The sequence below is a fragment of the Homo sapiens genome, chromosome 7 (assembly GCF_000001405.40).
Source record: "Homo sapiens chromosome 7, GRCh38.p14 Primary Assembly".
NCBI classification, from domain to species: domain Eukaryota; kingdom Metazoa; phylum Chordata; class Mammalia; order Primates; family Hominidae; genus Homo; species Homo sapiens.
The window spans coordinates 71,942,849-71,967,860 of NC_000007.14; the positions used below are offsets into that span (position 1 = coordinate 71,942,849).

Here is a 25,012-nt window from a genome sequence, read left to right on the forward strand (position 1 = left end):
TCACCCCTCTCTGCCCACTGAGATAGACGCATATCTGATTTGCCTCCTTTGGAAGGGCTAATCAGAAACTCAAAAGAATGTAACCGTTTGTGTATCACTTGTCTGTGACCTGGAAGTCCCTTCCCCCGTTCCAATCTTCCGCCTTTGATTCAAGTTGTCTCACCTTTCCAGACCGAACCAATGTACTTCTTACATAAATTGATTGGTGTCTCATGTCTCCCTAAATGGATAAAAGCAAGCTATGCCCCAACCACCTCGGGCACATGTCGCCAGGACCTCCTGAGGCTGTGTCACGGGTGCATCCTCAACCTTGGCAAAATAAACTTTCTAAATTAACTGAGACCTGTCTCACATTTTCTGGTTTCACAGTAGTTGCACAATAACATTCAAATACATTTTAAAACACACACGCGAAACAACACAGTATATTTTAAAATATAGAGTAGATACAGTACTGCAGAGTGCTAGAGCTCAGGTTTTATGTAGCCTGGATTCGAGTCCTCACGCTGCCATATGCTAAATGCATGATCTTGGGAAAATTACTTCACATATCCATGCCTCTGTTTCCTCTTCTGTTAAATGGGAACAACAAAAGAATTTTTCTTTTTTTGAGACAGGATCTCACTCTGTCACCCAGGCTGGAGCACAGTGGCACGATATCAGCTCATGGCAACCTCTGCCTCTGGGGTTCAAGTCATTCTCGTGCCTCAGCCTCCCGAGTAGCTGAGACTACAGGCATGTGTTATCACATGGGCTAATTTTTTTTATTTTTAATAGAGATGGGGGCTTCACCATGTTGGCCAGGTTGATCTTGAACTCATGAACTCAGGTCATTCACCCACCTCGGACTCCCAAAGTGTTGGGATTACAGGAGTGAGCCACCAGGCCAGGCCAAAACAATGTTTCTCATAGTGCTGTTGGGAGGATGAAAGAAGAGAATGTGTATAAAAGTGCTTGGAACAGGACCTTGGAAAATTAAATTGGAGTCGGCAATAATATTTATTTTCAAAGACATCTATGTATAGGCAGGATGAAAATGGGGAGTGAGCATGGAGATAAAGAAAAAATAATAAAATAACCCAACAAGGTGTCTTTCATGGGCTTATGGTAAGGGTGTGCCCTGAATTGACAGGAATAATGAACTCAAGTTTTGGAACCTGACATTCCCCAAATCTGCAAGAGTTAAGCCTAAAACAAACAGACCAAAGCCCCAGGTTATGAATCTAGTCACTGTTGAGCAGTGAGCTTTCGCCATCTTCCTTCTGAGAAGGAGCTCAGTGGTTATATGGTTTTTGTAGTGTTAAACAATGCTGCTAGGCAGGGTGCAGTGGCTCAAGCCTGTAATCCGAGCCCTCTGGGAGGCCGAGGTAGGTGGATCACTTGAGCCCAGGAGTTCAAGATCAACTTGGGCAACATGGTGGGACCCCATCTCTATTTTAAAAAACAAAAAAATAAGAAAACAATGGCTGGGCGTGGTGGCTCACACCTGTAATCCCAGCACTTTGGGAGGCTGAGGTGGGTGGATCATCTGAGGTCAGAGGTTTGAAACCAACCTGGTCAACATGGTGAAACCCTGTCTTTACTAAAAATGCAAAATTAGCCGGGCATGGTGGCACATGCCTGTAATCCCAGCTACTTGGGAGGCTGAGGCAGGAGAATCGCTTGAACCTGGGAGGCAGAGGTTGCAGTGAGCCGAAATCGTGCCATTGCACTCCAGCCTGGGCAATAAGAGTAAAACTCCATCCCAAAAAAAAAAAAAAAAAAAAAAAGAAAGAAAACATTTCTGAATTTATGTAATAATTTACCTATTGTGTCTAAGCTGTTCTTTAAAAAACTAATTGCTATCAAAATGCTTAATGAGTCAATTACTAATTATAAATCAGTGAATTAATACATCCGAAGTCAAGAATCTGTTATGTTTACAAACAATTGCTACCCTCTGTCTAATCTTTGAATTTGTGCTCATGAAGAAATTGGCTACCAATGTGGTACCAGTCTCCCAGCATCCTTGAAGAAGAGTTAGGAGGCAGGAGAAAACACATGTACGTCTTTCCCTAGAGGTGACTACACTGAAATCTAGCTAAGTGATATAGTTTGGATGTTTGTACCCTCCAAATCTCATTTTGAAATGTGATCCCCAATACTGGAAGTGGGGTCTGGTGGGAGGGGCATGGGTCATAGGGGCGGATCCCTCATGAATGTCTTGAGGCCCTCCCCACAGTAATAAGTAGGTTCTCACTCTATTAGCTCAAAGGAGAGCTGGCTGTTTAAAAGAGCATGGCATCTCTTGCTTTCTCTCTCACCATGTGATGTACCTGCTCCCCCTTCCCTTCCACCATGAATAAAAGCTTCCCAAGGCCTCACCAGAAGCCAATCAGATGTGGGTGCCATGATTCTTGTACAGCCTGCAGGAACCAGGAGCCAAGTAAACCTCTTTTCTTTCTAAATGACCCAGTTTTGGGTATTCCTTTATAGCAACACAAAATGGGCTAAGACATTAAGTCAACAAGATACACAAAACAACGCAGTTAAGTACCAACACAAGGCACAACCCAATGAGAATGAAATAGGCATTGCAGAGTGCCAGTGCTCGAGAGCAGGGCTCCTCATCGCCCAGGCTGTGGACCAGCACCAGTCTGTGGCCTGTTAGGAACCAGGCTACACAGCAGGAGGTGAGTGGCAGGTGAGCAAACATTGCCGCCTGAACTCTACCTCCTGTCAGATCAGCAGCAGCATTAGATTCTCATAGGTGCTCAAACCCTATTGTAAACTGCACACGCGAGGGATCTAGATTGTGCACTCCTTGTGAGAATCTAATGCCTGATGATCTGTCACTGTCTCCCATCACCCCCAGAGGAGATCGTCTAGCTGCAGGAAAACAGGCTCAGGGCTTCCACTGATTCTACATGATGTGTAATTACACGTTGTGTAATTATTTCATTATATATTACAATGTAATAATAATAGAAATAAAGTACATAATAAATGTAATGTGGTTGCATTATCTGAAAACCATCCTTCCTCACTGGTCTGTGGAAAAACTGTCTTCCACAAAACAGGTCCCTGGTGCCAAAAAGGTTGGGGACCGCTGCTCCAGAGTTCAGAGAAGTTAGGGCAGAGACGACCTGGGCAGGCTTCTGAAGGACTTCCCCATGAACGGAATTCTGCTCAGCAGAGGCATGGGGTGAGGGCCGCTTTAGGGACTGCATCTGGTGGAAGCTCAAATGCAGACTTTGTGGATTAGCTAGGCAATTCAAGTTCCAAAAGGATTTTTGGAAATTGTGGATCTTAGGGAAATGGTAGATGTTGGGCTCATTTTGTTTTAATTAGCTGAAGAACATAACAAGAAAAAAAGTTTCTCCAAAGGAGGGAAATCAGAATATCTTCATACATTTCTATTTTTGTCTGTTTCCCAAGACCCTGAGTAAAAAAATCTAATTCTTATAGAAATAGTGACAATAATAATGGTAGCCTAAATTTATGTTGCCTTACATCTAGCGGGTTCCATTTCTTTCTTTCTTTTTTTTTTTTTTTTTTGAGACAGGGTCTTGCTCTGTCACCCAGAGTGGAGTGCAGTGGTGCAATCATAGCTCACTGCAGCCTTGACCTCCGGGGCTCAAGTGATCCTCCTGCCTCAGCCTCTCGAGTAGCTAGGACTACAGGTGCACGCCAACAGACTCAGCTAATTTCTTTTTAATAGACAAAGTCTTGCTGTATTGCCTAGGCCGGTCTTGAACTCCTGGGCTCAAGCAATCCTCCTGCGTTTGCCTCTAAAAATGCTCAGATTACAGGTGTGAGCCACCATGCCTAGACAGCCAAGAACGTTACATACACATACATCATTTTCCCACATCTGTCATGAGGCAAGCATGAAAAGGCCTTTTTTCCTCCTTGAGATGGAAAATAAACTGTAAGGCATTGGATGGTACCTGACACGGTCTGGAATCAGGATTTCCTGACTTTGAATTCGGTGCCGTGAGTGATGGCAAGGAAACTGCTGTTTTTCAGTCACCTGAAACTTTAGGTGAGTTGCTGTGTTGCCCAGGCTTCTCATGAACTCCTGGGCTCAAGCAATCTTCCTACCTTGACCCAAAGCACTAGGATTATAGGCATGAACCACCATGCAGAAGCCACGTTTGGTGGGAGTTGTGTTTTTGTTGTTGTTGTTGTTTGTTTTTTTGAGACAGAGTCTCGCTCTGCCACCTAGGCTGGAGTGAAGTGGCGTGATTTCGGCTCAATGCAACCTCTGACTCCCAGGTTCAAGCCATTCTCGTGCCACAGCCTCCCGAGTAGCTAGGATTACAGGCACCCACCACCACGCCTGGCTAATTTTTGTATTTTTAGTAGAGACGGGGTTTCATCATGTTGCCCAGGCTGGTCTCAAACTCCTGACCTCAGGCGATCTGCCCACCTCGGCCTCCCGAACTGCCGAGATTACAGGCTTGAGCCACTGCGCCCCGCCAGTGGGAGTTTTATGTACATTATCTCAGGCAATGCAACCACATCATGAACTAAGGCAATTTTACAGAAATGGACAGAGAATCAGAGGGCATCTTTCAGTTTGAGTTAAAATCCAGTACAATGAAGATATGATACTGATAGTGAGAATGAGATCAGACATGGAAGCCAGAGACTCTCTAGACACACCCTTTTCCTATGCTATGGTATGTCTTGAATTTCTGAAAATATCACTGGGCTTAAAAGTGAAGAAAATTATACTGGAGGTTTTTTCTTCTTCTAAAAATCTCCACATAAATGGGTCACCTTGAAATACTGTTCTCATAATGCAGTTACAATTTTTAAAAATTGCTGCCGGGCATGGAGGCTCACACCTGTAATCCCAGCACTTTGAGAGCCCCAGGCAGGTGGATCACCTGAGGTCAGGAGTTCGAGACCAGCCTGGCCAACATGGTGAAACCCTGCCTCTATTAAAAATACAAAACTAGCCAGTTGTGGTGGTTGGTGCCTATAATCCCAGCTACTCGGGAGGCTGAGGAAGGAGAATTACTTGAACCTGGGAGGCAGAGGTTGCAGTGAGCTAGTTGCACTGCACTCCAGCCTGGGCGACAGAGCAAGACTCCGTCTCAAAAAAAAAAAAAAGAAAGATGTGGACATGCTTTTTTCTTCTCTTTTCCAGGGAGGCAGGTATGTAGGAAGATCCACAGAGGGGCAGTGCATTTTTGGGGGACTGATGCCCAGATTTTGTTCAGGTGATAATTATCTGCCAGACTTCTCATCGAAAGGGCGATAGTGCATGCAGGGAAAAGGTACCTTGAGCCAGCACCCCTGAGGAAGATGTTTGTATTATGAGGACTCACAATCGGTCTGGGGAAGGTGTGGATGTCAGCAGAGAAGGAGCCGCACCACCACAAGGACTCTGTTCTGAGTGGGGGGGAAGAGGACCACATAGTCTCTTCCCTTGCCCAGGCAGCAAAGGTCCCTTTTTGATCAGCAAATCAAATCAGCAAATAAAAGCTGATTTGATGGGTCTTCCAAATGCTCAGTTTCTCTATTACTCCCATGACCCAAGGAAGCCATGGCCTTCTAAGAGAGAGTCATCATACATGTGACACTGAGCTCCATTAGAATTTGGTTTCAGGCCGGGCACGATTGGCTTATGCCTGTAATCCCAGCACTTTGGGAGGCTGAGGCGGGCGGATCACCTGAGGTCAGGAATTCCAGACTAGCCTGGCCAACACGGTGAGATCCCCGTCTCTACTAAAAATAAAAAATTAGCCAGGCATGGTGGTGCATTGCCTGTAATCCTAGCTACTTGGGAGGCTGAGGCATGAGAATCGCTTGAACACAGGAGGTAGAGATTGCAGTGAGCCAAGATCATGCCACTGCACTCCAGCCTGGGTGACAGAGAGAGACTCTGTCTCAAAAAAAAAAAAAATAATAATTTGTTTTCAGCCAGGTGCAGTGGCTCATGCATGCAATCCCAATGTTTTTGGAGGCCAAGATGGGATGACTGCTTGAACCCAGGAGTTCCACACCAGCCTGGGCAACATAGTGAGACCCTGTCTTTACAAACAAATTTAAAAAATAGCCAGGCATGGTAGCATGTGCCTGTAGTCCCAGTTACTTGGGAGGCTAAGGTGGGAGGATCACTTGAGCCCAGGAGTTCCAGGCTGCAGTGAGCTGTGATGGCACCACTGCACTCCAGCCTGAGTCACACAGCAAGACTCTGTCTCTTAAAAAAAAAAAAAAAAAAAAAAAAAAAAGAATTTGTTTTCCATGCTGCCAGTTTGTCACTATGACAGTGCGGTCTGGACTGAAAGAATGGCCATAAATATTGTGGACATTCAGAGTAAGGAAGCGAATCCCTGACAGGCTATGAGGCAGGAGAATAGGGTTTGGAGACAGGGAACATAAGGACTTCCTAGAGCTAAATCAAATGGAAACACTTCAGCTATGACAGAACTATCCTCTCCATTTACAAAGGGTGTACGTCGAGTAAGTGACTGTAACTTTACTTCATCCTCTTCATTTACATAAGGCGTATACCAAGTAACCAATGGAAACCTCGAGAGGGTTTTTTGTTTGTTTGTTTGAGATGGAGTCTCACTCTGTTGCCCAGACTGGAGTGCAGTGGTGTGATCTCAGCTCACTGCAACCTCTCCCTGAGGTTCAAGCGATTCTCCTGCCTCAGCCTCCTGAGTAGCTGGGATTACAGGCATGCATCACTGTGCCTGGCTAATTTTTGTTTGTAGTAGAGATGGGGTTTCACCATGTTGGCCAGGGTGATCTCGAACTCCTGACCTCAAGTGATTCACCCACCCCGGCCTCCCAAAGTGCTGAGCTTACAGGCATGAGCCACCAAACCCAGCCTTAGAGGGTATTTAAACCCCAAAAAATTCTGTAACAGGGCTCTCGAGCCCCTATGCCTGGGCCTGCTCCCAACCTGTGGAGTGTACTTTCTTTTTTTTTTGAGATGGAGTCTCGCTTTGTCGCCCAGGCTGGAGTGCAGTGGCACGATCTTGGCTCACTGCAAGCTCCGCCTCCCGGGTTCACGCCATTCTCCTGCCTCAGCCTCCCGAGTAGCTGGGACTACAGGCGCCTGCCACTACGCCTGGCTAATTTTTTTGTATTTTTAGTAGAGACGGGGTTTCACTGTGTTAGCCAGGATGGTCTCAATCTCCTGACCTCATGATCTGCCTGCCTCAGCCTCCCAAAGTGTTGGGATTACAGGTGTGAGCCACCGTGCCTGGCCACTTTGATTTTTAATAAATCTCTGCTTTTGTTGCTTCATTCCTTCCTTGCTTCATTTGTGCATTTTGTCCAATTCTTTGTTCGAGATGCCAAGAACCTGGACACCCTCCCCTGGTAACACCTGGAGAGTGAGCCCCTTATGGGAGGAGAATTGCTCACAGTTGTTTTAGCCACAGCACAAGTATGGGCAGGGCGGAAAGGGGTCTTTCATGTAATCTGTTCCAACTCCATCATTTTACAGGTGAGGAAACTGAGGCAGAGGGACTCATTCAAGGTCACCCACAGATACATGGAAGGGTTGAGAATAGGATCTAGGTCTCCGACAATCACTACCACGCATTTTTGGATATTGCAGAGTACTTGCCAAAAAACCTAGGCATCATCTTTGATTCTGTGTCTTCCTTCAACACCCCATTCCTATGACCAATCCATCACCACGGTCCTCTTAAAGACTTGCAAGCATAGCCCGAACTGATCCTCTCCCCACCACTCTGGCCCCAAACAGCTCATACTGAGTTCCTCCCTGACCCAGAGTAGTCAAGTCCTTCTTTTGTCCCTAACACCCCCGATCCACAGAGCCACCCGAGTCAGACTTTGAAACTGTAAATCCAGTCAGAACACACCTCTTTAAACTTAAAGCTGCTTCAGACCACACAGGGAATCACGTCCATACTCCTACCTGATCAGCCCACTGCACATCTGGCACCAGCCAGTCTCCCTCAGTCTGCTCCAGCCAGACTGGCTTTCTTAATGCTCTGGGAACATGCCAAGCTGCTCCCACCTTAGGACTTTGTATCTACTGTTCCTTCTGCACAGAATGCCATTCCCAGAGTTCTTCATAAAGCCGGCTCCACCCTGTCATTCCTTTCCTAGCCATTTCACCCTCTCTGAGAAGCCTGCCCTAACCAGGCATTCCTGAATAGGCCCCCGTCTATCCCCGTTTTATTTCTACCATAACATTTATCCATAAATGACATTTCCTTGTTTGTTCATTTATTGCCTGTCTGCCCCATCTCTCTCATTCACGGCCAGTGCCTGAAACCTGCTGGACACATAGTAGGCTCTTAGTAAATATCAGTTTAATTACTCAGTCAAAAGATGACAGCATAGCTGCCTCTAGGGCACAACACCCTTTTCTTTTTATATGGCATAAGGGACTTTGATCAAAGAGCTCTCTAACACCATGTACTCTCCAGAAAACACTCTCAGTAAAGAAATGCTTTTACTTACAGTAAAGAATAGCAGAAACGGCCGGGCGCATGGCTCATGCCTGTAATCCCAGCACTTTGGGAGGCCGAGGCAGCTGCATCACCTAAGGTCAGGAGTTCAAGACTAGCCTGGCCAACATGGTGAAACCCCGTCTCTACTAAAAATACAAAAATTAGCTGGGCATGATGGTGCGTGCCCGTAATCCCAGCTACTTGGGAGGCTGAGGCAAGAGAATCGCTTGAACCCAGGAGGCGGAGGTTGCAGTGAGTCGAGATCATGCCACTGCATTCCAGCCTGGGCAACAGAGCAGTACTCCATCTCAATAACAAACAAACAAAAACAAAACAACAACAACAACAAAAAACGAATAACAGAAACAAGTTTTTCCAGCTTCTGCAAGAACTCAGTGAGGAGTCTGGTCTGCTATAGCATCTCTAAATATACTTTTTGGATTGGCAGATGTCACATACCCTACTAAGACAAAACTGATCACAGCCAGAAACCTGGCATCTATGGCTCAGTGGCTGGTTCTGGTTGGCTCACCCTGAGCCAGGATTTGAAATCAAAGTCTTTGACTTTGAAATCATGCAAGCGACTTGCAGAATGGTGGATCTTCTGATGTCTTGCACTTTTTCTGTGCTCTAGTTTGTCAAACTGCTGCAGCCTTTTTTTTTTTCCATTCCCCTCCTGGGAGTCAGACCCAACCAATCCATCACTTGCCCAAACCAACAGATGCGGCTGCTGATGGTGGAGGGAGAACCAGGCAGGACCACCCCAGGATGTGAGTGAGTCTGCTTTCTGGGACATCTTCAAGAGAAACAGTTGCTAGCTGAAGTATGAAAAATGAAGAGTCTGCCCAGCAGCTTCCTTCTTGCATCTCTATCAAATCACTGATCTGTTGAATTGGATATGCGACCTGCAACTGCTAAATTGAAGATACCACAGGTCACCTGGCAGGATCTTCCTAAATCATGAAACTTTCATGCTTAGGGTCCTCCCATTCTTGGCTCCACCCTGACGCCTCAACAGCGGCTCAGTGGCTCCCAGTCATTTCTGCCTTTCCCAAGTGCACCCCCCTCACCTCCTTGCCTGAGGAAGATGTTGGTATTAATATGATAATAACTCCACAGTTGGTCCAGGGAAGGCGTGCATGTCAGCAGAGAAGGAGCTGCTCTGCCACAAGGACTCGGCTCTGGGTGAGGGGAAGGGGCCCACATAGGCTTGTCCCTTGGCCAGGCGGCAATGCTCCCTTTTTGAGGCTAGCGGCACATAAAAGCTGATTTGATCGGTCCTCCAAATGCTCAATCTCTGCATCACTTCCGTGACCCAAGGAAGCCATGGCTGCATTACTTTCATGACCCAAGAAAGCTAGTGTAGATCGCTAGCGATCTCAACTCATTCCTGGACTATTACAAGTACGGCCATACGGACGCCCCAGGTGCCGGGCTGTTCCCTCTTGCACAATCTGCTGAATTCTTTTTTCTAAAACCAAGCCCCACCATGCTCTTGTCGGCTCGGCCCCTGTAGGATCCCTGCATCCTTCCTGCCTTCACATTCAAAGCTCATCAATACCTGTCCAGCTTCTTCTAATCCCCAGAAAGTCTTCTTCGATTCCTCTAATAGGAGAAAGTGCCTTCCTCTTTAGCTTGTCATAAATGCCTTTTGCATGGCTTTCGTGACTCAGTCCTCCATAATTTATTATTTGGAGATAAAGTCTTGCCCTGTCATCCAGTTTAGAGTGCAGTGGTGTGACCACAGCTCACTGCAGCCTCAAACTCCTGGGCTCAAGCAATCCTCCTTCCTCAACCTCTTGAGTAGCTGGGACTACAGGCACGCACCACTACACCCAGCTGCTGTTTTTAATTTTTTGCAGGAACGGGATCTCGTTATGTTGCCCAGGGTGGTCTTGAACTCCTGGCCTCAAGCAAGCCTTCCACTTTGGCCTCCCAAGTAGCTGGGACTACGGGCATGAGCCACCACAGCTGCCTCAGTCCTCCACACTTTATCTTAATCTGTTGGTGCCCACGGCTTCTCTCCTCCATCCTGTTCTTCATCTTAATATTTTCCATATGGCCTTGTTCCCTGCACTATTTAAGTAGATGCGTATCAACACACACTTGTGGTAGAAGAATGGATTTATCATCTTAAATGACCACTCCAGGCCACTCGAATTGCTGTCTCATTGGCAGGAGAAAGATATAGTCACCTCTTCTTCTCCTTTATATACTGTCAAGGCTTTGGAGAAAAGCCAATTTTCTGCTTTAATATACATATTCTCTTTCTGGTGTTTTCCGCATTCTAAGGTGCTTTCACGCCTATTAACAGCATTTTACCTTCATAATAGCTCTTTTGAGATGTGTGTAAAAGTGTTTTGAATAATTGTTGATAAAGTTTCCTGAGAAATAAATATTTACTGAGTGCCATTTATGTGTTAGGCATTGTGCTGGGAGTGGGGACCCAAGGGCCAGCAGGACTTTGCAGAGACTGACAAGCAGAGGACCAGTTTCCATGTCATGGGGCAGATGCTCTGATGGGGCTGGGCTGATGTTTCTACAGGGGAACATAGGAGGCACCTGTCTCCTGGGGGGTGAGGGAGGCAGCTAGGAAATGTCTTCATAGACAGGGAGAGCTAGGCAGGCAAGGTGGGGTTGGTGGTTGGCAGTGTGGACAAAAAAAACATGATCTCAGTCTCTCAAAGAAAAGAGAACCTGAGAATCTGGCTTACTGGAACAACTGCAATGAATTCACTATTGCTAGAGAATCAGGGGTAAAGGCTGGGCACAGTGGCCCACGCCTGTAATCCCAGCACTTTGGGAGGCTGAGGCAGGAGGATTGCTTGAGGCTAGGAATTTGAGGCCAACGTGGGCAACATAGCAAGACATCATCTCTATGAGAAATTTTAAAATGGGGCCAAGCACTGTGGCTCATGCCTGTAATCATAGCGCTTTGGGAGGCCGAGGGGCTGATCATGTGAGGTCAGGAGTTCAAGACCAGCCTGGCTAACATCTTGAAACCCTGTCTCTACTAAAAATACAAAAAAATTAGCCAGGCGTGGTGGCACACACCTGTATTCCCAGCTGCTAGGGAGGCTGAGGCAGGAAAATCATTTGAACCAGGGAGATGGAGGTTGCAGTGAGCTGAGATCGTGCCACTGTGCTCCAGCCTGGGCAACAGAGTGAGACTCCATCTCGAAAACTTAAAATTAAAAAAAAAATTAAAAATAATAATAAAAATTAGCTGGGCATAGTGGTGTGCATGTGTAGTCCCACCTTCTCAGGAGGCTGAGGCAGGAGGACTGCACGAGCCTGGGAGGCCATGGCTCCAGTGAGCTGTGATCACGCCACTGTACTCCAGCTTGAGTGACAGAGTAAGACCCTGTCTCAAACATTAAAAAGAAGATACGGATTGAGAATTGACTGTGGGATTTAGCAACATGGTGGTCATCAGTGACCTCCACTAGAGCTGTTTTGTTTTATGGAATGGTAAGAATGAAAATCAAGACAGAGTAGATTCAGGAGTCAGTGGGAGAAGAGAACTGGCAGCAGTGAGTACAGACTACTACCTGGGGGGTTGATTCAGAGCAGTGAAGAGGAGTGAGGTTTAACTCTTCTCTACAGGGGAACAGACAGTTTCATTTGACTATTATTCTTCTTATTTATTTTACCCACATCTTACAAGGCGTGGAATGTTGTTTTTTAGGATGAGAGTTGTCTAAGTATGTTTGTATCTGTATTAGTCCCTTCTCATACTGCTAATAAAGATATACCCAAGTCTGGGTAATTTGTAAAGGAAAGAGGTTTAATGGATTCACAGTCCCACATGGCTGGGGAGACCTCGCAATCATGGCAGAAGACGAAGGAAAAGCAAAGGGACATCGTACATGGCGGCAGGCAGGAGAGAGTGAGAACCAAGCGAAACGGAAAACCCCTGATAAAACCATCAGATCTCGTGAGACGTATTCACTACCACGAGAACAGTATGGAAGAAACCGTCCCTGTGATTCAGTGATCTCCCACCAGGTCCCTCCCACCACACATGGCAATTATGGGAGCTACAATTCAAGATGAGATTTGGGTGGAGACACAGCCAAACTGTATCAGTATTCTAATGGGAATGACACAGCGGAGAGGTTGAAAAGCTGATCAACTTTTTGCATACGTTCCTTTATTTAAATCTCAAAATGCTCTTTGAGGTCAATATGACCCCTACTCCCTAAGTGAGAACTGCAAGAATCAGTGAATTTAGAGATTCCACACTTAAGTCAATGGCACAGCAGGGGTTCAAATCCAGGTCTGTTGAACCCCAAAATGAACGCTTTCCCCACTGGTCTAAGTGGAAAATATTACAGAACATACTGCATTGCCTTCCTTAGATTAAAAAACTGATCAACATAGAGGTAATATAGGGTACAGATCTTAAGTTTTGAGCATGCCCTGGCTCAATAAGCCCCTGATGTTCTGGAACTCAGGAGATCCGTCCTGGAAGGAGTCAGATTCCAACATGACCTGACTATGATGCACTTATTTCAGACCAAGCAGACAGACAACCTCCTCTGGGAGGAAAGTCAGAAGTAGAATGTACTCTAAGAGGGCTTGAGGGCTGAAGATTGAAAAGCCGCTATTTAGTCTGGCACCTGGGTGGTACCTGGTGATCTCAGAGCCGGCAGTTTCACTGAAAGCCCCCAACCGAGATAGTATAGACTGGGCCATGTATGTTCTGGATTTTTTTTTTTTTTTGAGATGGAGTCTCACTCTGTCACCCAGGCTGGAGAGCAATGGCACTATCTCGGTTCACTGCAACCTCTGCCTCCTGGGTTCAAGCAATTCTCCTGCCTCAGCCTCCCAAGTAGCTAGGATTACAGACATGTGCCACCATGTCCAGCTAATTTTTGTATTTTTAGTAGAGACGGAGCATCATCATGTTGGCCAGGCTGGTCTCGAACTCCTGACCTCAAGCGATCCTCACTCCTCAGCCTCCCAAAGTGCTGGGATTATAGGCATGAGCCACTGTGCCCAGCCCGTTCTAGAATTTTAATAGCAGAAAGGAACTTTGTTTCCTTTTGTGATGAGTAGGATGATTGAGGGCACATATGTATGCTGTAGGGGAGGACTTGGGAGCTACAGAAAGACTGCAGATAAGAGTGCCCGGAAATTTTACTATTGGGCATTATTTCAATTTAAAGTATTTTTTTTAAAAATTATTATTATTTTTGTTCTGATAACTTTTTTTTTTTTTTAAACAGAGGGAGGGTGTCGTTATGTTGCCCAGGCTGATCTCAAACTCCTGGCCCCAAGTTATCCTCCAGCCTCAGCCTCCCAAAGTGCTGGGATTACAGGGGCTGACTGTGTCCAGTCCCAATTTAAAGTTTTGATTGTATGTAGCAGTGCAGGCACACAGCAAGCCAGGAGCATTTACATTTTATTTTATTATTTTATTTTATTATTTGAGACAGAGTTTCACTCTGCCACCCAAGTTGGAGTGCAGTGGCACAATCTCAGCTCACTGCAATCTCTGCCTCCCAGGTTCAAGCGATTCTCCTGTCTCAGCCTCCTGAGAATCTGGAATTACAGGCACCCACCATCACGCCTGGCTAATTTATGTATTTTTAGTGGAGGTGAGGTTTCACCATGTTGGCCAGTCTGGTCTCAAAACTCGAGACCTCAGGTGATCCACCCACCTTGGCCTCCCAAAGTGCTGGGATTACAGGTGTGAGCCACCACACCCAGCCCTATACTTTATTTTTTTGATAGTCAATCCCTTCATCTCCCTTCACGGGAGCTTTATGAATTGGTGGGGAGGTGGTGAAAGCGAAATGAGACACCGAGAGAAGCTCTGAAATTAATCATCTTGTTTCTATCGCAGCCGAAGACATGGTCTGGATGCTGAAGTAATCAAGCAGCCACTCTCGGCTTTGATGGACAATTCACTTTCATCTTCTGTGAGAGAATTTTGATTTACTTCTTTCAGAAAGATTGATAGGAGGTGGGTGGGACTGTGACTTTTAAATTTTTGGTTAGATCTAATATTTTTCTTGACTGTAAGAATTTATCATTAATGATTCTGGAAAGACAAAAACGTGATGAAATCTGATACAAAAGCCTAAAAAGGAAATAAAGAGGTTTAAAAAAATAAAACAAAGACACTCTTTTCGTAGTAAGCAACTCAGAGATGAAATATTTCACTCTGCAAAAAATCAAACCCCAAAAAAGACACCACTCTCAAACCTTGACACTCTTTCTCTACCCCATTACGATCTGTCGCCTGTACTGATCACTGCAAACCTAAAATGCCTTCCTCAACTTACAAATGGCAAATCTCTTAAGTAACTTCAGTTCTCAGACAGATTAATGCAATTTTCCGGTGAGTTAGACAGGCATGAAGTGAGGTGATTCTCCGGATTTTTTGTTTTGTTTTTGAAGAAGGAGAAGAAACTAGGAATGTTCTCATTTTAAGACTGAAAAATTTAGGCTGGGTGCTGTGGCTCACACCTCGCACTAAGAAAGTGCAGGTTTCTGCTGGGCATGGTGGCTCACACTTCTAATCCCAGCACTTTGGGAGGCCGAAGCAGGCAGATCACCTGGGGTCAGGAGTTCGAGACCAACCTGGCCAACATGATGAAACCCCATCTCTATTAAAAATACAAAAATTAGCCAGGCGTGGTGGCATGCACCTGTAATCCCAGCTACTTGGGAGGCTGAGGCAGGAGAATCTCTTGAACCTGGGAGGCAGAAGTTGCAGTGAGCCCAGATTGTGCCATTGCACTCCAGCCTAGGTGACAAGAGTGAAACTCCATCTCAAAAAAAAAAAAAAAAAAGAAAGAAAGAAAAAAAAAGAAAAAGAAAAAAAAAGAAAGTGCAGTAATTACCAATCTCTTACATGGTATATTCCATCATGGTGAAGTCTGAGATTTTAATGGATCCATCATCTTAATAGCGTACATTGTACCCAACAGGTAATTTTTCAAATCTCACCTCTCCCAACCTCCCCCTTTATGGAGTCCCCAGTATCTACTGTTCCCCTCTGTTTGTCAGGTTTCTTGCCCTATTCTCATACTGGTCTTGTTAAAATGAGCTTATTATTAGTTTGATCCATTCTCTGTCTCATGAGACTCTTGGCTTCCTCCAGTTCCCTGTCTTCATTGTAAGACACAACAGACAACTCAGGGAGGCCCCTTTGTGTAGTCTTCCTATCTGTCAAAGACCTTATTGGTCCTTCACAAAGTACCAATAGACTACCAAGTTTGCCCAGGCACATGTGGTATATACAGTTCCTGGGAGAAGGGGAAGCTCATTTTCCTTTCCTCAAAAGGACTTGCCTCTCCACCCATCTTAGGAAAGTTTTCCAAATATATAAAAACAGCAAAGTCTGGATTCTCCAATCCTATGTTTGCGATCTCCAAGAAAGAACAGGACACACTTCCGGACAACTTGCGTTGCCATCCTTCAGAGCTGACCACAATGGTGCTAGCCACATTATGTGGTCTCTTCTGTTAGATTTCATGTTAGCTGCTTGTTCAAAATCAGGCAGAAAGGCAGCTCCTCCTGCACTGTGAGACCTGACCCATCACTGCTACCTTAACAGACTGAGTCTCCCACCCAGCCTCACAACAGACATTGCCCAGAGTTCTTTCTTGACTGACAGATCAGACCCTCAGATCACTTTCCAACATGCTGCCTGACTTCTCCGAGTGGCTTTCCTTATGACGGGAAACCTGGAGTATCAGGCTTTCACATGCCTGTATTTTGGGTCACTTGTTAGTTATAAAAGATAGGCATAGGCTGCTCAATTAAAGCAAGGATGTTCTGGAAGCTGTGGCACTATCAAAGGCTAGGAGAGAAAGCAAACTGAATGGCTTGCCCCTCTCCTTTTCACCAGACTTAGTAGCAGTGAAGCACCTGTCATGGTAGGCAGTGATGAGTCAGGTCTCATGGTTCAGGAGGAGCTTCCCTTCTGCCTGGTCTTAAATGACAAGCTAACATGAAATCTAATATTCACATAATGTGGCTAGCAACATTGTGATCAGTTCTGAAGTTTGGACAAGTTGTCCAGAAGTGTGTTCTGTTCTTTCTTGGAGATCGCAAACACAGGATTGGAGAATCCAGACTTGGTTGTTTTTATATATTTGGAAAACTTTCCTAAGATGGGTGAGAGGCAAGTCCTTTTGAGGAAAGGAAAATGGGCTTCCCCTTCTCCCAGGAACATCTACCAAAACGACTATGTTCCTTTCCCAGAGCATAGAGCATAGGGGTATACCAGTTCTCCTGATGAGTTTTAACATGATATAGATAGAAGAGACTTGGAGTTTAGGACATCTCTACATATTCCAGGGTTTTGACTTTTTTACCTTTCCAGCTTTTTTTTTTTTTTAAGTGGGGGAAGGGTATGTGTGGTGGATACTTTCAGCAAAGGTGAGACACGATGGTCACCCAGTCCCAACTCCATCAGCACAAGAGGACAGTGGTCAGACTCCATGGTGCTCATAGGACTAGAATCTATTTCTAGTTCTAGTCTATTTCAATTCCTGGGCAAACCAAATGTGATGTCTCTTCACAGTTGTATTCTTTTTTAAAAATGCATATTTAGGCCGGGCACAGTGGCTCAGGCCTGTAATCCCAGCACTTTGGGAGGCCGAGGCGGGCAGATCACCTGAGGTCAGGAGTTTGAGATCAGTCTGGTCAACATGGTGAAACCCCATCTCTACTAAAAATACAAAAATTAGCTGGGCGTGGTGGCGGGCACCTGTAATCCCAGCTGCTCTAGAGACTGAGGGAGGAGAATCATTGAACCCAGGAGGTGGTGGTTGCAGTGAGTCAGGATGGCACCACTGCACTCCAGCCTGGGCAACAGAGAGAGACTCCATCTCAAAAATAAATAAATAAATAAATAAATAAATAAATAAATAAATAAATAAATAAAATAAAATAAAAAAATAAAATAAAAGCATATTTAGAGGATACAAATGCAGGTTTCTTACATGTATATATTGCATCATGAACCCATCATCTGGACAGTGTACACTGTACCCAATAGGGAATTTTTCAAATCTTACTTCCGTCCCAGCCTCTCCCTTTATGGAGTCCCCAGTATCTATCATTCCCTCCGTACATCCATCTGTACCCATTGTTTAGCTCGCATTTGTAAGTGAGAACATGTGGTATTTGACTTTCTGTTTCTGAGCTATTTCACTGAGGATAGTAGCTTCCACTTCCATCCGTGTTGCTGCAGAAGATAATGATTGCATTCTTTTTTATGGCTGAGTAGTATTCCATGGTGTCTATGTACCACATTTTCTTTATCCATTCCTCCACTGATAGATATTTAGGTTGATTCCATATCTTTGCTATTGTGAATAGTGCTGCAACAAACATACCAGTGCAAGTATCTTTTTGATATAATGATTTCTTTCCTGGTAGTGGGATTGCTGGATTGAATGGCAGTTCTAATTTTAGATCTTTTTTAATAGTTATATTCTTCCACTCTCTACCTCCATGCAGGTGCAAACTCCTACACCATTACCTGGTCGTGATATTAAGACTTTTTATTTTATTCTAATTTAATTGTTTTTTGAGACAGAGTCTTACTCTGTTGCCCAGGTGGAGTGCAGTGGCTCAATCTCAGCTCATTGCAACCTCCACCTCCCAGGTTCAAGCGATTCTCGTGCCTCAGCCTCCTGAGTAGCTGGGATCACAGGCTTGTGACACCACACCTGGCTAATTTTTGTATTTTTAGTAGAGATGGGGTTTCACCATGTTTCCCAGGCTGGTCTTGAACTCCTGACCTCAGGTGATCTGTTTGCCTTGGCCTCCCAAAGTGCTGGAATTACAGGCATGAGCCACTGCTCATAAGACTTTTTATCTTAAATGAATTTCACATAATCAGCAAAGTTACTATCATTGTCAGTCCAATTAGTCTATACCTATAATACATAAGGTATCTGAAAGATTACTTCTCATTCATTTATTCACAATGCCAGGAACTGTGCCAGATACTGGGTATACAATAGCAAACAAGACAGACAAGGAATCAAACCGAGCTTACATCCCCTCTTCTAAAGACAGATATTTACATCCTAATAGAAATTTCCCTACCAAATGTATTTATACATAAAACCCAGTTCTGTTTTAATGTTAGCACATGAGATCTAGCTGATGAAAATGTTACCTGTATTTCCCCCTTGGGAGTCAGCCCCATAGACCAGTAATTACCAATCTCTTTTCTGCCATAAAACCCGTAATAGATTACGTTCACTTGTGTACTGTACTCCCATGGGTACTGTTACATGAAATCTGCAAACTTCTTTCTCTCACTATTAAAACAAACAAAAAGGAATAAGAAAATGTGTGTGCGCAATTCTCCATTTGCCATCTCCACAAGCCATTCCCTCCCTGCACCTCTCTGCCCTGGGCCCTTGGAAACTGATCTCTGTAGATTGCATCTCCTAGACAAACTTGCTGCTAGCTTCTGTTTGGGTTAGGCCAATTCAGACAATGGCAAGAAATTCAAGGGCAGCAGAAGAGAGAGGGCAGGGTCCTCCTCCCCTGCATACTTTCTGACAAAACTCTGCTACTCTGGCAGTAGCTATGTCTCTTCACAAGCCTATTTCCCGCTGAGTGGCACCTCTTCCAGACCTCGTGAGGTTCCAGTAACCCTTTCCCTTCAGCCCTTGGAGTGGGAACAATTTCCAGCTATTGTAGCCTCAGGGAGCCTCATTATATCTTGTTTGTTCCTTTCACCTGCCTACCCTATGTCCATCATCTCTTCATTTGTATCTGCGTATTCCGTTTTCTCATAAAACAAGATGCAAGTGCAAGATAGGAAAGTTATTATAAGAATAACCTTGTGGCCAGGCACAATGGCTCACACCTGCAATCCCAGCATTTTGAGAGGCCAAGGCTGGAGGATCACTTGAGGCCAGGAGTTTGAGACCAGCTTGGGCAACACAGCAAGACCCCATCTCTAAAAAAAAAAAAAAAAGTTTAAAAAATCAGTCATGCCTGGTGGCATGCACCTGTTGTTCCAGCTACTTGAGAGGCTGAGGCAGGAGGATCACTTGAGCCCAGGAGTTTGAGGCTGCAGTGAGCTATGATGGCACCACTGCACTGCAGCCTGGGTGAAAGAGAGAGACCCAGCCTCCAATAAATTAATTAATGTGAGCAGAAGCCAATTACCTGTAACAAATACCAATACCGAGTCCATGCTGCGAACTGCTGGCAAAAGCCATGCCATATTTGAGCCCTCTGCATTTGCTACCGTTTGAATGGACATTCTGGACTATATAGAGAGTGAATATTTCCCCTCATCTCAACCTTTCACACTGGTGAGCTCAGGGGGCTAGAAAGTGTGAGACTGACTAAGAAGATTTCAAATTCCCCTAGAAACCTTTCATTATCTAATACCTTTTAAAATTCCACTTTGGGTGCCGTGAGGAGAAGATTTCTCTTCCACATCTTTTCTACAAATTGCTGAAAGCTTTAAACCAGTTTTATCTACAGTATGTCACAGCAAATGTGGGTCTTTTTTCCTTCTAGTGCCTGATCTGTCAGGAATTGCCAGGCCAAAAAGAAAAAAGACAATCCCTGGTGAGATGAACAAAGTAACAAGGAAAAATGAAATCAGAAGAGATCAGCGGGATCTCATCAATTCAACGCTTACTCAAATTCTAGTAACCTTGAAAGATTCAAGTATAATAAATTCTCATATATAAGGATCTCAGTTTGGCCTTCAAATACTACAAAGAGGACAGGTTTAAACATAGGTATCCAAGATTTGTAACTGGTATTTAAGTTTTGGAATCTCAGTTACCAGGTAAACCTGGAAAGTTTACTCTTGCTAGTGTCACAAAATTAGGGTCACCTGTACTAAACAGTAAGCTCTAAGAAACTTTGTTATTTTTATTATTATTATTATTTTTGAGACAGAGTCTTGCTCTGTCACCCAGGCTGGAGTGCGGCGGCGCGATCTCGGCTCACTGCAACCTCCGACTCCCTGGTTCAAGCGATTCTCCTGCCTCAGCCTCCAGAGTAGCTGGGATTACAGGTGCACGCCACCACGCCCGGCTAATTTTTGTATTTTTAGTAGAGACAAGGTTTCACCATGTTGGCCAGGATGGTCTTGATCTCCTTACCTCGTGATCCACCTGCCTCAGCCTCCCAAAGTGCTGGGATTACAGGTGTGAGCCACTGTGCCCAGCCCACACAGCTCATGTTTGTATTTTTAGTAGAGACAGGGTTTTGCCATGTTGGCCAGGCTGGTCTTGAACTCCTGACCTCAAATGATCCGCCCACCTTGGCCTCCCAAAGTGCTGGGATTACAGGTATGAGCCACCGTGCCCAGCCTAGGAAACTTTTTCTCTTCTTTTTTTCTTATCGTCTCTCCTTGGTCCCCAAATTCCACTTTTTTTCCCTTACCCCCTTGGTCACCACTTTATATGTTTTATATGTAATACTGATACATGTACTGCAATAATAGATTACACTTATTAGCACTTATTCTATATTTTAAATGCTACACGTACATTAACTCATCAAATCTGGATAGCAATGCAATGAGATTATCACCATTTTGCAAATGGGAAAACTGAGGCACAAAAATTAAGTAACTCATCTAACATAAGAGGTAAATAGTGGAGCTGGGATTAGGACCTATGAAGTTTGGCTGAGGAATTCATATTCTTATCCCCTCTGATATACTGTCCCCAAAATATGTCTTGTTTTCAATGTCCGTGTATTTAAACATAAATGTTTCCTGCTATGAATCTCATTGTTTCTTTTTTGACTAAAGGGAGCATTGTTAAGGTTTATCCACACTGCTATGTATGTACATCTGAACTGTTGCTAAGTATGTCATATCATATACTTTGGCTTACGCATTCCCCTACGGATGGACACTGAAATGGGAGTGTTCCTTTATCCCCCGTCACAGGATGTGCGACAGGGTTGTGACTCTTCTTTGCTGCCCTGCTGCTCAAACTCCTAAGGAAGCATGCAGACAGGCAGGTGTAGGGGTCGTGGGGAGCATTTTTGGGCTCTGACCCCACAGCAGTGTCTAAGGGTGAGTGTTTACAGCTCCTGAAGCCTTGGTGGGCGTCTGTTACAGTGTGCTCTTTCAGCTTTGCCGTCTGCAGACAGCTTGTGTTAATGAGCTCAATTAGACCCTCTGCTTATCGCAAGGACAGAGGGCTTTCTGTATCCTGGGTTCTTGCCCTAGTGTACTGGAAAACTTGGATCACATGTGGGCTTGGAGAATGAGTGTAAGGTTTTATTGAGTGGTGGAGATAGCTCTCAGCAAGATCATTAATATCATTTTCAAAAGAACAACCGGCTGGGCGCAGTGGCTCACGCTGAGATCACGCCACTGCACTCCAGCCTGGCAACAGAGCGAGACTCTGTCTCAAAAAAAAACCAAACCAAAACAAAACAAAAAAAGGAACAACCCTTTATTTCATTCCAAAGTATAGATATATTTAACTTATTGAACACTTCATTAAAAATGCATGCCTGTTTCCCTCTGTATAAATGATAAGTCTGGGCTTTGCAAGAAATGTTGGGAATGAGATGGGCTTTGGGTAAGAGTCTTCCAATACTGACCAATGTAATGTTCTATCAGTCCATGAAGAAATCTGTAAGGAATAGATGGTTTCACTGACTTGGGCTGAGCTCACAATCAGCACCTTAAAAACACTGCCAGACTTTGAGTTAGTAGAGACCGTTTTTGAGGATTCAGGGGAAAATAAGAATGTTTTCTGGCTCACGTTTTATTTTTAACTTTTTAATTTTGGAGACATGGTCTCACTCTGTCCCCCAGGCTAGAGTGCAGTGGTGCCATCGTAGCTCACTGCAGCCTCTACCTCTTGTGTTCAAGTCATCCTCCTGCCTCCACCTTCCAAGTAGCTGAGAACACAGGCACATGTCACCCCACCCAGCTAAACTTTTTATTATTCTTTATAGAAACAGAGTCTTGTTATGTTGCCCAGGCTGGTCTCAAACTCCTGGGCTCAGGTGATCCTCCCGCCTCAGCCTCCCAAAGTACTAAGATGACAGGTGTGAGCCACCATGCCCAGCCTCACTTTTTAAAAAGTATCCCTTTAATTGTTTAGATACTAAGATACTACTTTTGGAAAAGCACAATCTTTAGTGTGAGTCCTAGAAAGAAGGTGCCAACCTTCTGTAAGGAAAACTAAAAGCTTCCTCTCACTTGCAGATGACATAATTTTATACTCATAAGCCAGGAGTGACTTTAATAGGTATCTCATTCATTCTACAAAGAAGGGCTTCAGAGCTGCTATTTGAAAAACAGTAACAACAAACAAACAAACAAACAAACAAACATTAAATGCACTTAAATGGTGTATAGCTAAATTCCTACATAGGGACTTACCTTATTCATTTAAAAGAGATCCATTTTTCAACTGATATGGTATATGCACAACCAAAAGATATATTGGTGAAAGTTCAAAGTTAGGCATATGGTAGTGACCACTTAAAATATTTCACAATTTAAAATTATTGCAGCTATGTTCTGGGGCATAAAAAGATGCCCCAGTATCACTCAATTGAGTGATTCCTAAATAATTTACAAAGATAACTTAGTATTTAAAAGCCTAGAGGATCTTTCTTGGTCTTCTTCCTGTAGAAAAGGACAGTAGCGGTGCTTCTTAGAGCTTTTCACTGTTGAAATATGGAGTTTTGCAAAACCATCAACACCACACTTCTGCCCTCCAAGTACTACCAGGGAGTATAATCTTGCATTCAATCTACACAATACTCAATAGAAAAATCAGCTGAGACAATTTCTATTTTGCAGGTTAACCTGAAGGATATACAGTCTGTCTATGCTCCTGTGCAAGACCAGATAACAAATAGTTCTGGTGCTCCTTGTAGTTTCTATCCCAACAATTCAACTCTACAGTCAACTCTGTCACCATAAAGCAAGCAGCCATGGACAATACAAATTAGTGTGGCTATGTTGCAGTATAACTTTACTTGCAAAATAAGTGGCAAGCTGGACATGGCCTGTGAACCTTGGTCTGTGGAATCCTGCCCTAGGTCAATGTTTGATATGGTTTGGATCTGTGTCCCCACCCAAGTCTCATGTTCAATTGTAATCCTCAGTGATGGAGGTGGGGTGGTGGGAGGTGGCTGGATCATGGGGGTGGATTTCTTATGAATGATTTAGCATCATCCTTCTGGTACTGTCCTCTTGATAGTGAGTTCTCATGACATCTGGTCATTTAAAAGTGTGTGGCACCTCCCTCCTCTCTCTCTGTCTCCTGCTCCTGGTCCTGCCATGTAAGATGCACCTGCTTCCTCTTTGCCTTCTGCCATTATTGTAAGTTTCCTGAGGCTTTTTCAGAAGCTCAGCAGATTCCAGCATCATGCTTCCCGTACAGCCTGCAGAATCAAGAGCCAATTAAACCTCTCTTCTTTATATATTACCCAGTCTCAGGTATTTACAGCAATACAAGAACAGACTAATACCATGGTTCTTAACGTTTTGGGGAGCAAGTGGTGGTCACTACCCCCATTGAAAGCCTAATGAAAATTATAGTTCTTCTCTTCCAGAAAATTTAAAGCTAGATTAATTTTACATGCAACTTTGTAAGTTGTAAATCCCCCCAAATGAAGAGGCTTTCTCTAGACACTCTAAAATTTATCATTGAATTCTGTCAGAACAACAGAAAGATATGTCCTTGTTCAGCTTCCCCAGTAGAAGCTGTTTCTGGAATATTCTTTGCCATGATGTCATTGGTTTTTATTGAGAACTGTTTAGGAAACATATCTTTGAAACCCATTCACTTGTTTATTCCAATAACGTAGTGGATAAACAGTTCAAAATGGAAACAACTTAAATATTAAACCTAAAACTATAAAATATACAGAAGAAAACAGAGAAAGCCTTTATCTAGGCAAAGATTTTTTAGATAAGATGCATAAAGCATGAATAATGAAGGAGAGAAATAGCAAACTGAACTTCACAATAACTGAAAACTTTTATTTTCAAAAATCACTGTTAAGATAATGAACACACGAGATATAATATGGCAGAAAATATCACAAAACAAATACCTGTTAAAGAAACCTGACTAGGTGTGATGACTCATGTCTGTAATCCTAGGGCTTTGGGAAACCAAGTCAGGATGGCTTTAACTCAGGAGTTCCAGACCAGCCTGGGAAACATAGCAAGACCTTGTCTCTACTAAAAATCAAACAAATTAACTGAGCTCAGTGGTGCATGCCTGTAGTCCCAGTTACTCAGGAGGCTGAGGTGGAAAAATCGCTTGAGCCCAAGTCAAGGCTGCAGTGACCCGTGATCGTGTCACTGCACTCCAGCCTGGGCGACAGAGTGAGACCCTGTTTCAAAAAAAAAAAAAAAAAGAAAGAAAAGAAAAGAAAAGAAAAAAGTCTGTGCCCAGAATAAAGAATATAAAGAACTTTCAAACTCAATAATAAGAAAGCAATCAATACAATTTAAAAAGGGGAAGATTTGAGCATACATATTACTAAAGAATTTACTAAAGTAAATGAAAAGAAAGCAAACAAAAACCACAATGAGATGCCACTGTAGACTTATTAAACAGGCTAAAATTTAAAAG

The 25,012-nt window shown here is 44.1% G+C and overlaps 1 protein-coding gene across 15 annotated transcripts in view; it reads right to left on the bottom strand.

Annotated features, from left to right (window-relative positions):
- CALN1 (calneuron 1) overlaps window positions 1–25,012 on the bottom strand; it is a 724,789-nt gene that overhangs the window by 163,358 nt on the left and 536,419 nt on the right. Inside the window, exon 5 of one of the 15 annotated variants that reach the window (XM_047420911.1) lies at window positions 20,721–23,810. The exons of the other annotated variants lie outside the window; for them this stretch is intronic. Coding sequence (XP_047276867.1) covers window positions 23,793–23,810 — 18 coding nt within the window. The 3' untranslated portion in view covers window positions 20,721–23,792. Of the gene's footprint in view, window positions 1–20,720; window positions 23,811–25,012 lie in introns of those variants that run through there. 15 annotated transcript variants of the gene reach the window in all.